The sequence below is a fragment of the Homo sapiens genome, chromosome 4 (genome assembly GCF_000001405.40).
Source record: "Homo sapiens chromosome 4, GRCh38.p14 Primary Assembly".
Lineage (NCBI taxonomy): Eukaryota > Metazoa > Chordata > Mammalia > Primates > Hominidae > Homo > Homo sapiens.
The window spans coordinates 182,599,532-182,624,642 of record NC_000004.12 but is presented as its reverse complement, the minus strand read 5'-3'; the positions used below and the strand labels follow the sequence as shown (position 1 = coordinate 182,624,642).

At 37.7% G+C, this 25,111-nt stretch overlaps 1 protein-coding gene across 31 annotated transcripts in view; it reads right to left on the bottom strand.

Annotated features, from left to right (window-relative positions):
- The window catches only part of TENM3 (teneurin transmembrane protein 3), a 1,355,412-nt gene that overhangs the window by 178,382 nt on the left and 1,151,919 nt on the right, over nucleotides 1-25,111 (bottom strand). For all 31 annotated transcript variants that reach the window (XM_017008385.2, XM_017008389.2, XM_017008390.2 and 28 more), the window contains one exon: nucleotides 23,482-23,719. In XM_017008385.2, coding sequence (XP_016863874.1) covers nucleotides 23,482-23,719 — 238 coding nt within the window. The remainder of the gene's footprint in view (nucleotides 1-23,481; nucleotides 23,720-25,111) is intronic.

The window sequence follows — 25,111 nt, the reverse complement described above, 5'->3', positions numbered from 1 at the left end:
TGAGGGGAGAAAGGGCTTCCCTCCAGAAAGGGGAACATGTCCACGCTGGGAGCAGGTGGAGAACCTGAGGGGAGCTGGTAACAGCAGAGGAGCAACAGGGCCCAGGGAGAGAAGCCTGCCTTCTGCTTCGTGAGTGGCATTCTGGGGAAGTGGCAAGACTCCAAGGAAGGCTGAGGCTCTTTCTACTGCTTCCATGCCATGCTCGAAGGGACAGAAGTAGCAGAGAGAGCTACCTGGCAAAGCTGCGTGTAGAGAAACACGCAAAACTCAGGTAGCGACAGGTTTGCAGGCCCATGGCCAACGACGTAGTCCCTTACCTTAGTCTTTGGTCCCATGAAAACCCTCTGGGGGAAAGTGGAAATGGAGAGAGGCTTTGGGATATACCCAAAATGTCAGAAAGAAACCATATTTAGAAAACAAAGATTCCCCTTAGACTAGAAAAAATATTTCATTTTATTAAGGGCTAGGAAGAGAGAAAGAGAAGAATGGCTGAAGATATACCATGTCCCAGGGATGAAGGCCCTGCTCCTGGCCTCCCCGCGTGATTCCTGGAGAAGCAGAGACCACGGCGTATATCCAAGGGGCCTGAGAGCAGAGGAAACCTGTGCCTTACATCTCAGACAGAGAACGGAGGTGATAACAGGATCTCAAAGAGAAATAAACGCATGAAGCATCCAGGCGATGCAGTCAGGGAGCCTCGCAGAGATTCCTGTGCCTGAGCATAATTTCTAAGAAGCGGAATTACTTCTATGGCTGCAAGAGAAGCAAAGAGATGGCAGAGTGTGCCACTGGACAAGCAGGGGTCTCGCGGATAGGAACGAAGGCGACCCCCGCAATATCAGGAGGATTAGGAAAAGACAGAGAGCATGAAAACTAGATGTCTTAGTGGAGAAGAGTGTAACACCAGAAGCTCCCTGCTGTGCTCAGAGCATCATGGAAGAGCTGGGGTAAGGGAGGGAGGGACCCAAACTGCCTGAAGAGAAGATTCTAGGAATGAGGCTTAAAATAAAACAGGCCGGGTGCGGTGGCTCACACCTGTAATCCCAGCACTTTGGAAGGCCGCAGCGGGTGGATCACAAGCTCAGGAGTCGAGACCAGCCCGGCCAACACACTGAAACCCTGTCTCCAGTAAAAACAAACAAACAAACAAACAAACAAACAAAATACAAAAAATTAGCCAGATGTGATGGCGGGGGCCTGTAATCCCAGCTGCTAGGGAGGCTGGGGCAGGAGAATTGCTTGAACCCAGGAGATGGAGGTTGCAGTGAGCTGAGACTACACCACTGCATTCCAGCCTGGTGACAGAGTAAGACTCTGTCTCAAGAAATAGGGTCAGACGTGGTGGCTCACACCTGTAATCCCAGCACTTAGGGAGGCGGGGACAGGTGGATCACAAGGTCAGGAAATCGAGACCATCTTGGCTAATACAGTGAAACCCCGTCTCTACTAAAAATACAAAAAAAATTTAGCCGGGCGTGGTGGTGGGCGCCTGTAGTCCCAGCTACTCGGGAGGCTGAGGCAGGAGAATGGCGTGAACCTGGAAGGCAGAGCTTGCAGTGAGCAGAGATCACACCACTGCACTCCAGCCTGGGCAATGGAGCGAGACTCAGTCTCAAAGAAAAAAAAAAAAAGAGACTCTGTCTAAAAAAATAAAAATAAAAAACATAAACAAATATTTTTAAAAGTTGCATTTCTAACGTACTATACTGATGGACTATGAATGATATATTCACTCCACAAATCATCTATGGTTTGTCTTCTCCCATTAGAATGTAAACTCTATGAAGTCCTATTCACCTCTGTATTAACAGGGCTTAAAAAGTTCTTGGCATGTTGTAGGTGTTCAATAAATATGTGTAAAATAAATAAAATGGTGACTATTATGTAGACGAGGAAAAGTGAGCCTCAAAAAGTTAAGTACCTTGGCCAAGAAGCCACAGCTAATAAAGGAATGAAATCATATAATATATAAAATAGCAATAAATAAGGCTGGAAATTATAAAAACCAAAAAGCAAGCCTGGGATGTGTGTTTTAGCTTTATTCAAAGTATGCTGTTTCTCCACGGGAGATAGGATTTGAATCTGAGCCTATGGGACTCTCAAGATTATGAACTTAGCCTCAACACTAAAAACGTGAATATCTACTACGTGAGAGACAGTAAGTTTGATAGAGGCTGACTTCAAATCAGACACCTCTGTTTAAATTTCCAAAACTTGAGACATCAGTAGATCATGAGATCACCAATCTTGGCAAGGGCTTGAGTTGCTATGAAATTATTCTTTTTCTTTTTTTTTGCGATAGAGTTTTGCTCTTGTCATCTAGGCTGGAGTGAAGTGGTGTGATCTCGGCTCACTGCAACCTCCGCCTCCTGGGAGGAGCCTCAGCCTCCTGAGTAGCTGGGATGAAAGGCATGTGCCACCATGCCAGGTAATTTCTGTATTTTTAGTAGAGACGAGGTTTCATCATGTTGGCCAGGCTGGTCTCGAACTCCTGACCTAGGTGATCTGCCCGCCTTGGCCTCCCAAAGTGCTGGGATTACAGGCGTGGGCCACCATGCCCTGCCGCAATTATTATTTTTCTTAGAAGAAAATGTAATTTTGAGATATTGCTCAAAACAAAGATGTAATATTCTAAAATCACATCTTTGTGATTGTATATTTTGTTATTTGTTCTAACATTACTCCAGCTGCTCAGGCTGGTGCACAGTGGTGTGAAGACAGCTCACTGGAGCCTTGACCTCCCAGCCCCAAGTAATCCTGCTTCCTCAGCCTCCTGAGTAGCTTGGACTACAGCATGTGCACCACCACATCTGGCTAATATATATATATATAATATATATATTATATATTATATATATAATTATATATAATATATAATTATTATATATTATAATATATTATATATTATATATTTTATATATAATATATATTATATATTTTATATATAATATATATTATATATTTTATATATATAATACATATTATATATTATAATATGTATTATATATTATATATTTTATATATATATTTATATATATTTTTGTACAGATGGGGGTCTCCCTATGTTGTTCAGGCTGACCTCAATCTCCTACCCTTAAGCAGTCTTCCTGCCTTGGCCTCCCAAAGTGCTGGGATTACAGGCATGAGCCACCATGCCTGGCCAGCCACTGACTTTAAATCTCAGAAGTACCCCTCCTCAGATTGGGACCTGTACTGTACTCAGATTAGTCACAGAGAAGAGGTACTTTTGAGATTTCAATCCGATTGTGTATATCAGACTGGGGCCTTGGTGATGTACGTGCATAATAAATACAGAAATGCTATAAAACATGGGAAGAGAAGCCAAATCACCTGTGCACTATATTTTAAAACAATGAGGCAGGAGGATTGCTTGAGCCCAGGAATTCAAGACCAGCCTGGGCAATACAGTGGGACCTCATCTCTACTAAATCTTTTTTTTTTTAGACGGAGTCTCGCTCTGTTGTCCAGGCTGGAGTGCAGTGGTGCGACCTCGGTTCACTGCAAGCTCTGCCTCCTGAGTTCACGCCATTCTCCTGCCTCAGCCTCCCGAGTGGCTGGGACTACAGGCGCCCGCCACCATGTCCTGCTAATTTTTTGTGTTTTCAGTAGAGACGAGGTTTCACTTTGTTAGCCAGGATGGTCTCGATCTCCTGACCTCAGGGGATCCACCCGCCTTGGCCTCCCAAAGTGCTGGGATTACAGGCGTGATAAAAACTTTTTTAAAAATTAGCCTAGCATGGTGCCATGCACCTGTAGCCCCAGCTACTCAGGAGGGTGAGGCAGGAGGAATGCTTAAGCCCAGAAGTTTGAGGCTGCAGTGAGCTGTGATTGCACCACTGTACTGCAGCCTGGGCAACAGAGCAAGACCCTGTCTCAAAAATCAGTCAATCAATCAAAAAATAAAATCACCAGTCTTTGATATTTTCAGATCACTTTCTAGTATGTAAGTAAAGAAAGAATTAGTAAAGATTGTTTAAACTGATGTATTTTGAAACTACTTACAAACAAATGGTGTCATTTTGTGTAGACGGATTCCTTCAGGTAAAATTAGGCCTCAAAATAGATATGTGAAAATATACATGTAAAAATCTCTTAGACATTACTATGATCTATGTCAGTATATTTTCTATAGCAGAGAATATTTGGTCTCAGATTTCGCAGGACTCTGTTAGTTTTGGGGTTCAGAAAGGATACCCTCTTTCCAAAGGCAACAATGGCTCTTTCATTGCACTATATCAAACACTGCCAAAGTGCATATTGTGATTAATGTGTCTTTAAGCCCAAGGACTTCTTTTTACCCGTTCTCAAGGTCCAACACAATGGTTACTTTATGTTTAGGACTCTACAAATATTTAACGAAGGAATGGAATACTGAAATTCGGCTATATGGAGAGTAGACAGTGAGTTTCCGCACAAGGAAATTATCATCACCTAATTCTCTATAAAGCACACATTTTTGTGTGTCATTAGTCTCTTCCCATCCTGTGACTCTGCCGAGTCATACAGCTCTGGGAATATGCTTCTCACACGTAAAAAATTCTGCAAAAATTGCTATCAAAAACATATGCTTTTGACCTGGCATCCACATGAGGTTTGTAGAATAAAGGCAGAAATTTTCTTTACTTCTCAGACCATATTTGGGAATGAAAAAAAGTGAACCTGTGAGAATATTCCCCATTGTATTCAGCAATAAAGCAGCAGCCGCGGCGGCTTCTTTTTAACACAGAGCACACCTTTTGTTCTGATGTTTCCAATGATGCCCTGCACGGAGCCTGCCTCCAGTTCCTCAGCTATTTGTGCCACTGTTTTCACTCTGGTGATGAGCTAGAGAGACACACTTGAAGAGAGACTATCAGAGACTGAGATGAGGAAAATCAATTTCAAAGCCCAAAAGACAGCTGGTGCAGAAGGTCACCGAACACTAACAGTTGCTTTGTGGCTCTGGAATCTTGAGGGGGATTCTATTTAACAACAACAAGACAAGAACGGTGGAACTGCATTGCGTCATTAACTTGTAATGCTATGTAGAAACTAAAACATATATAGGAAGGATGACTCTACGTTAAGCACAATTAATAGTTGCTCTTATGTCTTCTTAAGTTGAAAGGTTTGTTTCTTTGTTGATCTGGCTTTAGAGTAACCTTTTGATGTTAGCTTCTACCTCTAATCTAGCTTCTATTGTTTTTTTTTTTGAGATGGAGACTTGCTCTGTTGCCAGGCTGGAGTGCAGTAGCGTGATCTCGGCTCACCGCAACCACTGCCTCCCAGGTTCAAGCGATTTTCCTGCCTCAGCCTCCCAAGTAGCTGGGACTACAGGTATGTGCCACCATGCCCAGCTAATTTTTTTTAATTATTTTTAGTAGAGACAGGGTTTCACCATGTTGGCCAGGATGGTCTTGATCTCCTGACCTCGTGATCCGCTTGCCTCGGCCTCCCAAAGTGTTGCGATTACAGGTGTGAGCCACCACACCTGGCCTTCTAGCTCCTATTTTTAACCCATTCCATGATGTATACCTCTATGGGTCACGTTGCAAATTGACTGAATTTCCTCATCTTTTTTGCTGTCCCCATCCCTGCCTTCTAGGTCACTGTTGAGTAACTCTGTCTTTTAAGTCTCTCTAACTGCCAGACTTTGGGTAATTTTTAATTACTCTTCTTTCCTGCTCCCAACCCCCACCCCCGAGTAGTCAACCTGTTGGGGGATCCTGCAGTCTTTCCTTTATAGCATTTCTTTCTCTTCTTTTTCTTTTATTGCTGAGCAGAGAAGTTCTGTGTTCTTATACCTCAACTTCTTTTAACCTGCTTAGCAGATGCAAAGAAGAGGCAAAAATAACATTTCATTTCAAATTTTTTTTTACCCTCAAATGAAACATCATGTTTTAAATTTTGGACCCGCACAGTATACCGAATCACCTCTATTTGTTCAGTCAAAACTTCTGTCTCCTATCTTAGGCCACTTACAATTGCTTCTTATAATTTGTTTTGCTTTTTTTTTTTTTAAACCCCATGTCTTAGCAGGCATGCTTTGTTCCTTAGTAGCTGTTCACTTTTGATTGATTTTGTCTTTCAAAGTAATAAGCATAAAACTTACCATCATAAGATTTTTAGTGGCAAGATAATCAGATTATCAAGGAAATTTAAATGTACTTTTCTATATCATATGTAATATTAATATATCAAAGTTCATTTTAGAAGATGCTAACAAAATTAAATAAGTCATAATACATAATTAAATTGAAAGCTTATAGGAGTCACTAGGAAAAATGTCTTAATACTGGTCTTTTGTTCAGGGGATTAATATAATCATTTTATCTTTAATATCAAGAATACAGTTTAATAAATTAGAAATTATAGGGACCCAATTGAAAAGCATCCCTGGAAAATGTGTTATAGCATTATTCCAAGTGGTTTGAGTCATTTCCTCAATGGGAGATTAGCATAGAAAATAAAAATCAAAAAGAAAGTGTGTAACTACTGAATGAAATAAATTCTAATTAGATTAACTTCATAAGCAGTTATCTTCATAGAAAATAGTTTGTTTCCTTCAATGTTTTATATAGTGTTAAAAACATTTTTAGAGATTAACAAACAAAGCAAATAATTAGGATAAAGAGAGTGTAGTAGTTAGTGCTCAGCTTCTGTCCCTGAGGCACTGTTGAAACTTTTATTAGTGACATACAGACACCTGGAAAAATACTTATCTTGTGTAGTAACATCTATTATATCGTATAGGGACAAAGGCACTACTGCATAGGAAATGTTGATGCTTTCCTCCTCTTATATTCTTTCTTGGACAAAGAGAATCATTTACATTAAACTAAAAGTGACCTGATTAAATAAAATCCCTTGATGTCCTGCTTTCTACTGACACATGTAGGTAAATCGATAAAAAGTAATCTAGAATATAGATTGCTTTCTTCAAATTAGATGTTTTGATTTCAAAGACAATGTGTCAATAAGAAAGACTGGCTATGTTTGGCCAAATTTACAACCTTTTCAATATCCAAAAGTTCTCACTTAAGAGCTGAGGAAATTTTAAGGTATAGGTTCTTCTTCCTTCCAGCAAAATATAACTTTCTGGATTTAAGAGGCTTATTAAAGGTCTCACAAGATTTCCTCAACATCAAACGACTTTTCCAAAATGACATTTTCAGATCTAAAGCAAATGAATCCCACACTTGTGGATTAAATGTACCTGGAAATACATGAAGGCTAAAATTAACTACTGAGTTCAAGATAGTTTTAGTCACTTGATGATATCAAGACAATGGACGGTTTGCCTAGAGTTCATTTTAAGATAAGATGATTTTTAAAAGTACTGTTAAAATATATAACACTGAATTGTTAGTGTGTGTTACCTTCCATAACGCCTATTATTACTCATTTAATTCCTTGTGGTCTCTAATTGGGCATTCATTAAATATCACAGAATCAGCCCAAAATATTTGTCAGTATGTATTTGAAACAAATAAGGTATCTGAAAGATGATATTAACTATTACCCACGCATTGTGAATGCTTAAAATCTGTTTTTATCATAATCTTTAGGATTTTCACTACCAAATTCTGAATTTTAAGTTCCAAAGCCAACTGGATTATCTGTGAAATGTATATTTAGCAATGTGTTCAAACTAATTAAAAGCTGAAAAAATAGTTTATTTAAATAATGTGCTTTAGAGAATGATGAAAGGAATAGGAAATTTCTGGCAGCTATTAAACAGAAAACTAAAGAAAAAGCCCCCATAGAAAATTACCCGTTCTTACTCAAGGCTGGGTTCCTGTTTATTTTCCTTACCTTCTGGCAACTGATTCTCAATAGACATCCAGAGATATCTAGCATAATTATTCACTCTGCTCAAATGCCTAGCTATTTGGAAATAATTCTCCATCAGCCGAGGATGCTGGCCCTCAGAAGCTCTGTAAGATTCCTGAACTGAAAGACTGCAGAGGCTGCTGGGAATCTTCCGGGAGAAGCCCACCCACACGAGCATCTGCAGAAACTTGCAAAAGGTGTTCTGCAGTTACCTATCTTTTTTTTTTTTTTTTTCACTGTGTTAGCCAGGATGGTCTTGATCTCCTGACCTTTTTTTTTTTTTTTTTATTATACTTTAAGTTTTAGGGTACATGTGCACATTGTGCAGGTTAGTTACATATGTACACATGTGCCATGCTGGTGCGCTGCACCCACTAACTCGTCATCTAGCATTAGGTATATCTCCCAATGCTATCCCTCCCCACTCCCCCCACCCCACCACAGTCCCCAGAGTGTGATATTCCCCTTCCTATGACCATCATTCTCAGTAAACTATCGCAAGAACAAAAAACCAAACACCGCATATTCTCACTCATAGGTGGTAATTGAACAATGAGATCACATGGACGCAGTTACCTATCTTTTACACGAAAACAGTTCAACAAGACTGATAAGGAAGCGCCGGTTTTGGTAGGGCTTGTGAACTGCTGTGGTAAAGGGTCAGAACACCAACATGAGCAGAAATGCAACTGAGAGACCATTCCATACATTAAAGCGGTAGGTTTCAAACTTTAGCTTACATCAGAGTAACCTGGCGGGCTTGTTACAACAGTAGGTCTGGGGTGAAACCCCAGCAACTGACGGGGCTGCTCCAGGAACCACACTCTGAGAATCACTGCAGTAAGGTATTAGGATATCAGTTTCTTAGCTTAAGTTTAACTTCAAGTCTCCCTTCAAGACTGTATAACAAATCAGAAAATCAATTCAAGACTCCTGCTTAGAAAGTCACTGCTGGTAGCTTACTTCGAGTAGTCAATTTAGAACAAATGAGTTATACAACGCTCAATCCATTGGATCTCAGAGTCAAAGGGCTTAAACATTTTTCATTGCTTTATGTCATCTCACTCTTTTTTTTTTTTCACTTTTCAACATCCCCCTTTTTTTAACTCTTCCCTTTCAACTTCACCTATTAGTTAAGTTTTCCCTAATCAGTTCCCTTACGCTAATGTCATTGCTACTTTTAAGTATCTACCGTGTGTACTGGCTTTTACTTCATCTCCAAATGAGATACCAGCATCTATTTCCTTTTGGGTCTTCTTTATGTTTCATAATATCTACATTTCCATTTGCTTTAAAACCACTCATCAGCACTCACCTTATTTCACAAGTACCTTGGCTAAGGGGTTCTCTTTCCTTTTCTCTTGGGACTCTATACTTGGATTTCTGAGCCACGTGTAAATCTAGTTGATACTTTACCTTGGGCATTTACAACTTCCCAAAATGCTTCATTAATTTCTTCGCAGAGAGAGTACTAGTTCTCCACTCTCAACCTTTCTGGCTGGGGTAGTTTTTATATATTCTTTTTTCCTCTAAAAGCCTTGTTTCAACTTATTACCTGTATGAAAATTTCTATTAAAAAAAGAGCTACTTCTAATCATTCTCTTTACCTACTACCAGAGATTCTTCTGAAAAACTCAATTCTAAATATTTAAATGTAACGTGTAAGCACACACACACACAAATATAATCTCTAATCTCTTTTCACTTTACGTATCTGCTATTTGGAGAAGAAAAAAAAAATACATATATATATATATATATATGTATTTTTTTTTTTTTTTCTGAGAAACATGCCTTTTCCCTAACTCTTCTTCGAAACTGCTGAGGACAAAGTAGTGACAATTAAGATGATGCTCCCAGTGCTGGCTGCAGTGGACGCCCTGCCATACTCTCAAAAAGGCTGCAGCAATGGTAGCTTCGGATCTATGAAACAACGTGAAGAAACTGAATTCTTACTGAGGTTGGAGGCAGCAAAAAAACCAGTGTAATTGAAAAAATACTCCACATTGAATTCTCATTGTTAGAGTTAAAGAGAAAGTGTTTTCTTTCAACCTTTAGAAATAATTTTAAAACATGCTTTCGAGAGTGTGTGCAGGAGAACTTAAAGAGTAATTAAGTGGTATGAGGAAAGGAAAAAGTACTAGGAGGACTAGTTTTTTAATTAACTTTTTCAGCGACCACTGGCAGTAGATTTATACTTGACAAAAAAGCTATAACTAAAAATAAAAATGAGCAAATGGGATTTAAAAAATAAAAAGGCTTGTCTCAAGGCTTGATTAAAAAGACACAGCTAAGAAGTAATAAGTAATAAAACATACTCATAGTAAGTCAGTAATAAACTAAAATTCATTATTTTTCCTTGAATTTTAATCACTGGATTTCTGCTAACTTTTAAAAAGGATGATTCTAGGAAAGGCAGATAAGTAAATGTCTATGTATGTGAATTTTCTAAAAATTGGCCATTTTGTTCAAAATGGATTGATTCTTTCTAATATAAAGGTATTAATACTATGCATTTAATGATAAATGTTTTATAGGAAGTAATATACTATGTATACTATGCAATTATAAAAAGAAAATATTTTAGATTCCCACTAAAGTGCCTCTTCTATTATTACCAAAAATTAATTCTGGTATGCATTTTAAAAATAAACACTTTAAATAAGAAAATAAGCAACCAACATTACAATGTAAACTATGTACTTTGATGGGAAAACAAAAGAACAAATATGTAATGATTCTAGCTGTGACACCGTGAGTTAGTGAGACTGATAAACTACTTCTTCATGCTGATAGCATGTTGTGGTCTCAAATCTATTACACTTTTGAATTGATGTGCTATTATCTTTGGAAAACTTTCACACTAGGAGGTGATTCCTGCAAGAAAGGTGTCTTAAATGCAAAGCTTATAAACAAGATACACTTCACTGCTGCTACCTGAATTAATATGACCTATTAGTAATTGCACAAAATATGCTTTCAGACAAAAACTGGTTTTACTATTTTACATAAAAATGTGCAATATCAATATATTAGTAATTATACATTTTGGCATTTGCCTTTGTATCCATTTATAATTACAATGAATATGATAACATGTTCATAGTAAGTATAGCATTATGTGTGTTAACCAAGCTCTGAAAATTGGGAGCTAAAATTCTAGAGAGTGTTAAGAAGATTGGGGGAAATATATTTTTGTGAGTTCTGTACTATCTTTCACACTTACTTCTCATAGTCTTAAGTAAACGGGAGAATTATATAAAATTTAAGCATAACCACAGCTATGTAAAAAGTATAGGACTACAATATGAAGCAAAGTGTTTCTATTACGACTTACTTTAACTTAGACAGGTCTACAACCAAGTACTAAATCCCATTATAAGTATTGTTTGGGAATGTTAAGAACTGAACAACAGGACTAAATATACAAAAAAATATTTTTAGCCATTATGAAGACTAAAATCGCTTTACAGTCTTTGTTTCACATTTTGGTTACTTTAATGAAGAATCCATGTCATCAAGTGTACAAACTTGTATTATATTCTTACATGTTTTCATATATCAATTACACCTATTGTTGGCAGTTATTATACACTAAATATATTAAAATTTAAATGGAAATGAAAAAGACCATGTTAAAATTCCTATGTGCTATCTGGACAAGACTTCATCTATTTAATTATTAATTCATTTAATTATTGATGGCCATCTATGCTTAGAATTGTTCACTAAAGTTCTTTCTATAAACACAAGAAAGGAAGTATAAGCTAGATCAAGAGAAGAATTTCAGGGGTGGTTGTAAGTAGTTTATGAAGAATAAAAGAATTTCCGGCGGTAAGAGTTGAGAGTTGTTCATGGCATTCTAGTAAGTCACTAATCTGATGTGTATGTGACAGTGAACAAGAAATGGATGACAAAACAAAACAAGGCAGAAAACAATCAGTTCAAAGAGTGAAAAGGGCTTCAGTGAAGCTTACTGAACAACTATTTGCCATGTGCCAAGAAAATATTATCAAACTTTAACTTTACAAAATTCCCACTGTGTGTGTGTGTGTGTGTGTGTCTGTGTGTATTATAAAATCTGCTTTTAAAGAAGAGGAAACTGAGACTTACTGAACTTGTCAAAGGTTAGAAGGAGCAGGCAAAGCCAGGTCTTTCTGGCCTCCAAATTTACGCAGTCTCTATATCAGGTACGCATTTTAACTCATATGCAAAACAAACCAGTGAGATAAGAAGGTATTCAAACTCTATTTAATTACATATCAAACTTGTATTTTTCTCCTGTCTAAAAATCAGAAAGATATTAAGCTTTTATAATATTTTACGCATGGGTGATCGTGGAACCTATACTCAGTCTTTCTGTTGGAAGGTTCTCTAATGCCTGAGGATCCTGAGAAAAGGAGAAGAGGAGTTGACAGTGATGCTGTCACCTTTTACTTTCTGCTGAAACTCTGTGTGTGTTTAAGTAAATACAATATTCTGCACAATGTTTCGCGATGAGTTGTGGTGTAGTCTTGAATTTTTTTTTTTTTTTTTTTGAGACCGAGTCTCGCTCTGTTGCGTAGGCTGGAGCGCAGTGGTGCAATCTTGGCTCATTGCAACCTCCGCCTCCCAGGTTCAAGTGATTCCCCTGCCTCAGCCTCCCCTGTAGCTCAGATTACAGGCATCCGCCACCACGCCCGGCTAATTTTTTTTTGTATTTTTAGTAGAGACGGGGTTTCACCGTGTTGGCCAGGCTGGTCTCAAACTCCTGACTTCAGGTGATCTGCCCACCTTGACCTCCCAAAATGCTGGGAATTCAGGCATGAGCCACCACACCTGGCCTGAAAATCTTTTTTAACCACATAAAGGTTAACAAGGTATCTCACAGCAAAATACCCAAAGAGTTTAACCTTAAAGATGAATTAAATATACAAAAAGGAGAAGAGTTCAATTTTGCTGACCTGTTCAATGGTGACAAGTGGCTGTCAAAGGTATCTTATCAAGAATATATTTTTGAAAAAATTAATAATCTGTCCCTCCAAGTAGAGGAAGTGTTCAAGAATGATAAAGACAGTATAGCTTCTCTAAAGAAATTATTAGTTCTGAGAGAATATTTTGAAAATTTACATTTGGAAATAGTCCCATCAATATATGACTTTGCTGCAAAATAAATGTATGTCATCTATAGCAATTTTTTATTTTCTAAACTGCTTAAAGGTCTGCTAACTCATATTTTAGTGGGTTTTGTTCTTATTTACTTAAAATGTAAAAATGTAATAGCTACTGATTAGCTTGCCAGATGATCAGAGTAGACATCAGAGAAATTAACCAAATTTCAACACAAATGTTTATATAAATGTTAGAATTGAAAAATATGGTATGATTAGTATTTAATACATAAAGTTCACTTATATTTAACTATTATAAATATATATTTAATAATTAAATACATCATTAGATGAATAAGTAGAAATAAAATAAAATTCTGTAAAATTGTTTTAGTTCATCCTTTCAATTCTTAATCTGTGTATGATAACAGGCACAAGCTTAGTAAATTGCTGCATGTGCCTAATTTAAAATTTAATAAATACACATATTTGGGGGTTGAGGTTTTGTTTTTTTCCTGTCAAATGTAATAAAAAATTTTTTGGAGATCATTACTAGAAGAAAAGGTAATGAACTTATATTTGGAGACCTGTCATCTAGCTGAGTATTGCCACTAACTAGTCATGTGACCTCAGGCCAATTACTAAATCTCAATGGGCCTTAAAAAGAAGATAAGGCCAGATGTGATGGCTCATGCCTATAATCACAACAATTTGGGAGGCTGAGGTGAGAGCATCACATGAGCCTAGGAGTTTGAGACCAGCCTGTTCAACATAATGAGACACCCTGTCTCTCCAAAAAAAAAAAAAAATTAGCTGGGCATGGTGACATGCTCCTATGGTCTCAGCTACTCGGGAGGCTGAGGCGGGAGGATTGCTTGAGCCCAGGAGGTCAAGGTTGTAGTGAGCTGTGATCATACCACTGCATTCCAGCCTGAGAAACAGAGTAAGACCCTACCTCAAAAAAAAAAAAAAAAAGTAACTTTAGTTGGGCATGGTGGCACACACCTATAATCCCAGCTCTTTGGGAGAAAAAAATAGAGAGAGGGTCTCACTTTGTTGCCCAGGCTGGAGGACAGTGGTGCGATCATAGCTCATTGCAGCCTGGAGCTCCTGAGCTCAAGTGATCCTCCTGCTTCAGCTTCCCGAATAGCTAGGGCTATAGGCACATGCTACCAAACCTGGTTAAGGTTTTTATTTTTTTGTCAGAGGTGGGGTCTCACCATGCTGCCCAGGGTGACCTTGAACTCCTGGCCTTAAGTGATCCACCTGCCTCAGCCTCCCAAAGTGCTGGGATTACAGGCATGAGCCACCACACTTGGCCAGATTAGATAATCTTTATGATTTTAAATTTGCTCTGGAATAGAATCTATCTTTCTCAAAAGCAGGCAAAACATCTGCAGGTCCTTTCTTGAGTTTTTCATACTGGTACACTGTAAGACTAACCAATATTTCCTGCATAAATGAATGAATGCATTCAGGCTTCATTTTATGAATTATCTCTAAGACACCACTATCTCAGAGAATTTCTTTCCCATATTATCACTGTTACATATTATCACAGTTATTTGTTTTTTCTAAAACAAATTCTCTTTTTAAATATTTACTTCATAGTTTATCTCTGTTAGGAAGTCAATTAAGTTGAGGATTTAGTGATTATTCTTACTGTCAAAAAATCTGCAAAGGTAAAAAGCTACCTAATTGTCACAAAAATTAATTAACATGTAAGTTCTTGGTAGCTGTCACTGCATTTTATCACATCTTTATTTCCTTGGTAGATGTCAATTTACCTTTGTAGTTATTAAATGAATTATTTTTCCTTTAAACACATAGCCTAAGAAAAGAATAAAAAGCAAAGAAACTGAAGCATTAGGTACTTCACATGACATCTTAAGGAACCCTTATAAAGTCGTTGTGAAGTATTACAATCCCATTTTATGGAAACACAAGATAAGAATGTGTAATTACCCTGACCAAGGTTACACAGCTAGTAGGATGTTGAGATTTTAATCCAGATCCTCCTATCCCCAAACCAATGCTTCTTTCCACACACCATGACCAGACGGTAGCAATATTATATTACTGTGAGATGTAACTGGAACAATTTCTGGTAGCAGTATTTCAAGTGGTTCAGAATATGAAGTGAGATGCTACGAAAGCACAAAGAAGGTTACAGCAGAATCAGAGGGGTTATCAAATAGAATTGATTAAGTTTAGTTGGTTAATTGCATGTCCAAGAATTTAATCTTATGGTATAAGAAGAAAGAGTTCTCAGACTGGTGTAATAGAAAACAGACTTTACCTCAGGTTTGAAATTAGTGGAGAAGAAAGTAGGCAAAAGCCTGTCCAGGAAAAAATAAAGGAATGCAGAAAAAGATATGCAATTATCTTTGACAGGGTGTATATTAATTGGTGATGAAACCAGAGAATGAAATTCCAGAGAAAAACACAGTTTTAAAATTAAGGCTGGGTGTGGTGGCTCACGCCTGTAATACCAGCACTTTGGGAGGCCCAGGTGGGTAGACTGCATAGCAGACCCAGTCTCTACAAAAATTTAAAAAACTAAAAAATTAATCTGTGCACGTTTCCATCATGGAGTAGCCTCCCAGCAGGCTCCTCCGCAAATGGTTCCTGGCCTAGCGTCCCCAGTCCCATCCCCAAGAGTTGCCACTGAGGTCCCACCAGCCTGCAAGCAAGAGCATGGGCCATACCCTCCAGTCCCTCCAGCCTCTTGCTTGGGGCCACCCACGACTACTACCTACAGTAGGTTCCACTTCCAACAGCAGCTCCTGCGGCGGCACCGAGTGCCATAGGGAAGCCGCCCCTGAGCCCCTGGCTGACCCAGGTCACTGGCGGGCGAGCTCCTTTCATGGCCATGGTATTTTTATGGTCCGCAGAGCACCCGGGGCCTCCTAGGACCCCTGCAGCAGGACCGCCTGTGGCCTGGCTTGGGGACCTCCCAGGAGGCAGTCCGATGGCCTGTCCAGCAAAGCCAGTGCTGGGTCCTAGCCCTGACCTGAGCGGCCACCCCCAAACCCGGGCCTGCAGAAGCGCTAGGACGCCAGAATCCCTCCCCGCCGCCGCGGACCCTGCAGACCGGGCGGCTGCAGCAAGCGGACGAGCAGGGCGCTCTTTTACATCAACACAGCTAACACCAAAAAGGAGACAGCCCTCCTCACTGTCCCAGCGCACGTGAGCTCTCCTGACACCTGTAACTTTTCACCTTGCACCTCGTGGAAAATAAACGCCAAGCAGCCGGTAGACAAATAAATAAATGCTAATAATTAAATATTAAGAAATTATCTGGGCACCATGCCACACCTGTAGTCCATGCTACTCAGGAGGCTGAGGCAGAAGGATTGCTTGAACCAGAGATGGGAGGTCAAGACTGCTGGGAGCCGTGATTGTGCCAATGCACTCTAGCATGAGTGACAGAGCAAGGCCCCGTCTCAAAAAAATATCAATCAATCAATCAATCAATCTTTAAAAAAACTGAATACACCTTGATTCCAGGAAAAAATAAAATCACCAGGTAGCAAGGATGTCAAGTAGACATAAAATATGTATGCATACTTATGTACAAATACATACACATACACAAGTAAAGAGGACTGAGACATACTTTTACAGACAATACTAGTGAATGGTATTTTTAAAAAGCCTCACAAAACAGTTGCTCGAGAGGAAGAGAAGTGCTTGAGAATGACAGGTCATTTTCAGATGAAGATAATGGCTTAATCGCAATCACTGACTAGGACCAGAGTAAAGGCACAGATTACCTTTTACACTGTTCACGTTCAAAAAAGTGTGATTCAAAATGTGTTAGAAGTAATTAACAATTCATTTCTACAGGTACCATGAAAATTAAGATGATCATGTGTGAACATTTTATATAGATTACGGTTATCCAAAGCCAAACATTATCAGAATATACAGTATCTGCAATTTATTGAAATTACGCTTTCAATATCACTTAAGGACTATAGCAAATGATTAATGCATACTTTCTTGGTGTCTTAATTGCTATTAAAAAGAAACTGGTTCACTCCAATTAAACAAAATAACACTCCCACTCTATTGTACAGTACTTTTATCATGCACAAAAGACTCTAAAGCGTTCAATACCTTAAATAAAACTGGGGTCTCACTTCTGAGTGATGTGAAGACAATGCATCTATGAAGGCTTTTATTGATTCATTCCAAACATTTATTACTTTAGTTAATTAAATGTTTCAAGGATATGAATAGTTGCCTTTCATTATTATTTGAAGATTTTTTTTCTTCTCAAGAACAAAATTAACAGTCTGGGCGTTCCTACCTACAAAAATCCACCTACTTTTTGTTAAGCGACGGGAAGAGTGAGAAAACTAAGAGATTTTAATCTAGTAAAATTAACCATGGTTTAATTTCATGTTTAGCCTACCTAACACATAAAGATAAATTAGACAAAAATATCTCAGTTAAGACAAATGCTTTTCTTATTGTTTGGAGAGATGAGAGCTACTTTATGATGAAAGGTATTAACCAATGAGGTGCCCTTCACAATGGCTGCTATTACCATTTGGTAATTATTTTAAAAACATTTACGGAACACCTAGCATGTGCCACGTGCTCCACTTACTTTATTTCATTTCACACTTATAAATCATTTTGAGTAGGTATTATTATTGCATTGGAAACTGACTTCACATTTAAATATGTGACCTCACATTTAAATAGTTAGTGAAAATGGTGGATGCAGGATTACAAACCAGGTCTCTAAAGCATATGCTTTTCTCATGACGCTAAACTGTGATTTGTATCCCTACTATATCCACCAGGTTTTAATTAGAATATATATCAATACTGACTCCTGAGAATGACCTTCATTTGAGAGCTGCTATTGGTCTAGAACCTTCTTTCACATTTTAATTATTGGCGTGACGCCCACTAAACAATCAAGTTGAGGCTACAGCATTACAAGTGGTTAATAATAATCTCACATTAAAAAATAGGGCTTTTACTCTCACTTATCTTAATAACCATCTTTGAAACTTTATCTCAAACTTTCCTAGAATGAAGCCTCTACTTCAGCCTGAGAGAATGGTTTTGGAAACCCAAACTGTAATGCTGCTGGAGACACAGAGATGTTTATTCTTTGAGTAAATTCAGGACCATATTTTATATACGCTACCTTTTTTTTTTTTTTTTTTTTTTTTTGAGACAGAGTCTCCCTCTGTCGCCCAGGCTGGAGTGCAGTGGTGAGATCTTGGCTCACTGCAACCACTGCCTCCCGGGTTCAAGAGATTCTCTCACCTCAGCCTGCCAAGTAGCTGAGATTACAGGTGCCCACCACCCCGCCTGGCTAATTTTTGTATTTTTCGTAGAGACGGGGTTTCACCATGTTGGCCAGGCTGGTCTCAAACTCCTGACCTCAGGTGATCCACCCGCCTCGGCCTCCCAAAGTGCTGGGATTACAGGCGTGAGCCACCACGCCCGGCCTGCTACCTCTTGTTCTCTTGATATTGTGATAAGTGTTCTCTTGAAACTCTGAGAAGAAAATTAAGACAAATATTTTAAGTATTATTTTAGGAGCTACATATTTTGGAGGCCAATAGAAGCTTTTTCTGCGAAGGGGGTCAATAAAAGTTTAAATATTTGCTCTAAGTTAGCAATAGAAACTATTAGAAATGTTCAAGTCTGGAGCCTTACCTGCATTCAACCTGCCTTTCTCGTTTGATTTCTTATTCTTATTTATCTAAGGCATAAGAAAATTTGGACTTAAAATTAACTTTACTCTTGGAAATAAAACTTAGTGTGGTAATCACACGTCCCTCTTTGCCTGGTACAGCTATCAGTTTATGCTGCAATTCCAGGGTAACTGTTGATATGGCCCCTTCTCACTCTGCAAGTGTCCTGGCTTTAGTAATGAACTATATGGTCACCACAGAGCTTAGGCACTGAATTAAGCTTACAATAGCTTCCTCAATTATCCTCCTCTCTCTGAGACAAAGGTTTTTTTAGCCAGGGCTTGAAATAGGCCTTAAATATTAACAGCACACAGCAAATTCTTGAACTTTATATCTCCCTCTTCATGTTTCTTCCCATTCTCACAAATAAACAATATCCCTTCCTAGTCCTCTTAAGAAATACTAAGTTATAAAAGGTGCCATATTTTAAGAGACTTAGAATCCAAGTGATTTTTTACTATTCATTAGTATATAATTTAAGTTGACTTTCCCTTTTTTTTTTTTTTTTAAATAAATGATGATGGTGAAACTTTAAGAATTTCCTACCATTGGCCCAGGTCCAATTTTGAAATTTTTGTTAAGTAACCTTAGGTTCTTCATTTTTGGACCTCTTTTCCATATTCAGTAATATTCCTTTTCCCCACAGGTACCCTGTGTCTCCCCAAGCTGTCTTTAACAAAAGCATATGGCATCAGCATCAGTCAGTCAACCTTAGTCATCGAGCTACCTTCCCAGGCATATTTTACTTGAAGTTGTATCTTTAATTACGGAGGATTCCACTACTTACTACCTCACTAATGGTAGTTTATTAGTTATCAGTAAGTGGGTGGAGGTTAATTCTTCAGCTGGGAAAGGTTTCCTCTGGGGCAGGAAAGCTACCCCATATAGGATGCAGACACACGTCAGCAAGGCTGACTCAGACCCGGTGTGTGTATGACTGTTTTTACCTTCCCTACAACCATTTTAAAGAAGATAAAAAGAGAAAAAAGTATCATATCTTAGTTTAGTAAACAATATCTCTGTTTAGGTATTCTGTTTTTTTAACGACGTTAACAATTGATCTCACATTAATGCGGCTCAAGACATCTCAATATTGAAATAAAAAATGCACTAATAAAGAGGCAATTTAATATGCAATTTCATACATTAATAATTAGCAAAGCATTACTGAACTAGAAGGTAAAAAGCTATGGGAACATAACTAATGAACTATCCATGCCAAAGTAGGCTTCATAATAAAACAAGACTTTAATAAATCTTTTATTAAATGGCTACAAATGAACCGTTTTGTTAACATCTAATAGGTAACTACTAAGCTGTTTAATTCACGTATATAAATGAGGAACTTGCAGGCAATTAACTTTACAGTTGCTGAAGGACAAGGCTTCTCAATGAGAGTTACTGTACCATACCTTTAAGTGCTGCTGCTGTACTGGGCCAATTCTAAGCGTTTGCTCAGCTGCTCTGTATTCTTGTAGCAGCTATTATTACATACTGAAGCAGCTGAAGTATAAAATAAACAAAGGGCAAGCTATAGGCTCTCCAATGCCCTAAAAGTGAATAATCCAAAGTATAACAAATAGTGAGCTCAAAGAAAAGGAATTTTCAGGAAAATTGTAAGCAAGCACTTGGTATTATACATAGGGACCGATTGTTAATAGGAAATGATGACATAATAAGGAGATGCTTATGAACTGCAAAGGCATTTTTGGATCTCAGTGTGACTCTAGGAGATCTGAAAGTCACTGGAGATTATAGACCAGAAGTATTCTATTCACTGAGTGGGAATGTACAGTACACAGTCACATTGATTGTCTCCAGCAGGAGCAAATGTTAAATTCATTAGAGAAAGGAAATAAACATTTTTATGGAAGCAAGAAACTGCCTGGTGAAAAAGAATGCTTTTGAATAAATCAAAATGATAGCTATACTGAAACATATAGGACAAAGTAGAAAATCCTTTTATGCCTTTTCCAGCAATTCACATAAACTGTAAGTCTACAAATCACTGAGATTTTCAAGGGTTATTACATGCCATTTTGTAACCAATTACTATCAATTTGTGCTGAAAAGAGAAAAGGGGGAGGAACTAAGAGAAAAATATAGAGATTCTTATTTATTCGTAACTGAATTTTAAACTTCATAGCTTATAACCTTTAAGTGGCAGTTTCAGAAAAAGTGAGAATTAGCAAAATCGGTGTGTGTGTGTATATATATATATATATATAAATAATTGCCAAAGATGAAACAATACACTAGATTAAAAAATAGTTAAAGGCAGACACAAGTCTGGATAAAGTTGTTAATATAGCTGAAACTGAGTCTGAGAATCATACTCAATAGGGAACCTTAACTAAAAGAAGGAAAAATCAATGATAAATAAGACTGGTTCTTCACCTCCAGAGTTCCAACCAAGTGAGACTATTAAAGAAACCACAGTAGTACTGTGTCGGTACAGTGTGAGATTTTCACATCACTGCTTAGCTTCACTCACTGAGTACTGCAAGTTGAAATATCATTTCTTTTGATTAGCGACACTGTAAGATGTGAACTTTGGATAACGAGAAAACAACAAAACTATACTGCAGATTAAAATTTGTTAGTGTAACAACAAATTTTTAGATTAATTATTCTGTATATTTATTAGTGAGATCATATCAGCGGTTGATTTCCTCCCTGAAACTCATAAAACTGTATAATATTAATTCCATTGATGATTCATTAATGGCATTACTTTGAAATGGAAGAAAATCTCAGTAACTACTCACCATGGGAGTGATTTCTTATATGGTCTGAATATAGAGAAACCAGCTACAATTTCACATATGGCTACAGTGGATTTTCTTCTAACCAACTACTTTCTTTCTTTAAAGTCTCATCAATCAAAATTTCCAGTGCAATAAGACGAATAACAAGAACGCATCTTACTCTTCTCAAAATTATTCCAAATTCACTGGAAGACATGGTTTCACGGAATGCTAACTCTCCTACTGACAGTTTTTGAGGCTTTTGTGTTTTATAACATCACTAAAATTAAACACGTTTCTGAGGATTTAATTTGACATATTTCATAAATATTTGTCAAAACAATTATTGTCAACTACAATGTAATATCCATATTCAATCTGATGACTCAACTGGAAAATTACTTTTTTCCTAATAAATTTTTTCCAAATGACAATAGTGAATCGGTGTTGATTAGCTGTTCAGTGTGTGCTAATTAATTACACTGGGTAAATTTACGTCTGTGCTAATAACCTCAGGAAAAAAAAATCCGTATACATGACTGTGTCTTAAGTGAAGAGAAATCTGCTGTTTGCCTATTTTTCCTGTTCTTTCTCTTCCTAATTTCTCCCAGAAGAATGTTCAATAATACAAAATAAACAATAAAACTCAACTACTCGTGGCTGATATGGATAAAAAGATAAGAGTTCTTTAGAACCTTGTTCTTAGGTCAAGAGTAAAAGAAAACACAGAAAGACTTTCATTGTTGACAACTAACTGTGGGGACCTCCTGCTAGCTCATCCTCAAGGCAGAATGGGTTGAGACCATATACCTAATGGTGAGAAATAGCAATGTATTCATTGTGAGACACTTTGTTCACCCAGAAGCTAATTTAAATCCTAATGTTAACCGGAAGCTCTAGGGCAGGACATTTTGGGGGACAGTCTCTCAAGGCGTCAAGAGCTCTCTATTTTCTGGCTTTTCTATGGTGATAACTCTTTTTCTCCAAGCCTAACGGAAACCCTGGGGCAGAGAAGAAATAAAGAATAAGAGGAATGTTGGGGGAACCTCCCCGCAAAGCTGCCAACAGAAGACCAATAAGGTAAGACACCACTGTTGGTTGTGCAATACATAATTACAAGGAGACAGTGACTGTTACGCTCCTGTCCAAAGAAAGAAGGCGAAATTTTATATGCCAGGAGATCCTGAATAATGAAATGGATTAGCTCAAAACAGCTTTCGCTGATCATACTTTTGTATGAGCAGTTTACCACTTGTCAGCCAGCCTTTGCGAGAAGTCCTAACTTTGAACCTTAATGAAACACTATGCTATGTGTACAGAGAAGGACCATTAAACTGCTGAAGCCTCTAGAAGACTGAGAAGCTCATGGGCCATCATGTATGAATCAGGGCAAAATTGTTTTGTATAGTTGCAGACTACTAGTTGTACGGTTACAGTCAGAGGATGGAAGTTTCAGGGATGGAGATTTCAGTTCATTGTAGGGAAAAACTTCCTAATAGAACTGTGTCAGGATGAATGGATTGTCTTAGGAAATAATCCTGCAAGGAACTTTAGAGAGTAGGTCCTATCTCCCTCATACTGCAAGAAACTACAATATCCTTAACAAACTGTCATCTGATTTGTGCTTAAGTGTTATATTCATAGTGGGGCTCCACTATGAATATATGATGTAATGAACAAAATATAGTCTGAGAAAGTACAGAGGTCTAGAACCAAGAAGATGCCAGACATGTCCACTGAATCAAACTACATGCAACTGAGAATAACATTTTACATCTCTGTCCTTTTCTCCACATGCCTGATAATTTGTAGATAAGAAAAAAACAAACAGTGGTAAGGGAAAGTTTCACTGAAGTAATTTATTCTCATCTCTTGTAGGCAACAAACTGTGTGAAAAGAATAGGCACATTCACTGACCCAGCAACTAAAAAAATCACAACAATCTGGAACTGCTTCTTAGAGAAGAAAAAAGAAAACACAACAACAACAAAACCCCAAAACACCACACCAGAATATGTAAGTATAGTAAATTGCTCCTGGTGAGAAAAGGGTTGGGCTAGCTTATTTTGAAATTTTAGATGTTACCTGCTTTCCAGTGGTACATTACTGCCAAGGACCCAGCTGTCCTGCAGCTGGACGGACTCGGGTGTGGTTTGCAGCTCGGCGGGCAAAGCAGCCGGCGGGGCCGGACTCTGGTTCCTTCTATTGGTCAGGGAGTTTCTGTTGAGAGAAGTGATGGATGGATGATGCTGTGCAGAGTGCTGCTTATGGGAAGGCGGCAAGGGCTGCAGGGTAGACTGGCCTTGATTGCTTGCAGGTTGCTCTGAAAAAAAAAAAAAAAAAAAAAAAGAAAGAGAACTCATTATATATATATATATGTATATACACACTACCAATTTCTTGGGGATCCACTGCAGATGAATTAGAATTAAAAACTGCATATAAATCCATAACCTAATAAATTTGCATATTATTCTATTAAGTGGGTGTTCAGTGACATTCTCTAAGAGCAAGTTTACCCTTGATACACAAAGTTCTAATTAATACACAACAGATGGCAAAATTGCTTTTGGTTTTAATTTGTTTCAGATTTTTTTTTCATCTGGTTTTATTAACACCTACAGAAAACAGCATCTGACAGCTCCTCTAATGTGCCTTCAGATTTCAGCTTTTTTTAACAAACCAACCCTGAAATTAAATGGGTAATTTCAGTAGAACACAAAGGTTTTCAAAATGCATATAATCCCTATAATTATTTAATGGAGTTTTTTTAAGCTTTATTTAACTGCAATAAATTATTACAAGCTAGTTGCTAAACAGCAGTAGACTACTCTTGTTTAGTGCATTTCAAATAAGGCAGATCTGCACTATGATCTACTAATAGATGCTAAGTATTCTTTAGCAGAAGGTCACTCTGTGAAGCAGATGTTGTTTCATGGGTACTTAACAGACTGAATCACATCTGATTACAACGTCAGAAGACTCATATACTTAATGACCGTCACATCCATTAGAACACACACAGAACAGATTTTCCAATTTCACAGTAAGCAGTGTAACTACATTCTGAAGTAAGTCATAGGTGACCAGATAGGCTCATGCCACTATGTCAGTGATACAAATATTTTTGTTTTAAACCAGAATCATAAAGAGTCTGACAACTTCAAAACATAAATACTGTGTTTTGAATGCTGTGTTGTAACTGCTAGAAAATTCCGTAAAGCTAATACGTCATAAGTTAAAATTCACAAATTAATGTAACATCTGAGACCTACTTTCCATCTCATTACCTAGCTTTGGATGTGCTAGAATTTACGAAGACTACATTTTACCAAACAGATAGATGACTCTTTAATTTAATGCTAAACTGATATGGTTCCACACACATAAGATGTCAATTTTGGACTAAATGCAGTTCAAAATGCAGTATAATTTTAAAGTGATGTATTAAATCATGCTATTAATATAAATGCACATATTAACAAAGAATAGGAAACACAAGTACTAGCTTCCATCTACGATGTGAACTCCAGCAGTGATTGTTAAGCCAAATAGCACAGTTTAACATTGTAATTCAGTTTGCATGAAATGAATACATAATATGTAATTGTTTTAATATATATTATCAAACCTCTTTACAGGGTACAATGATAAAAATAACTCCTCTCATAGCATATAACATCAGTAATATTACATGTTTCTAATGATCCCTAAT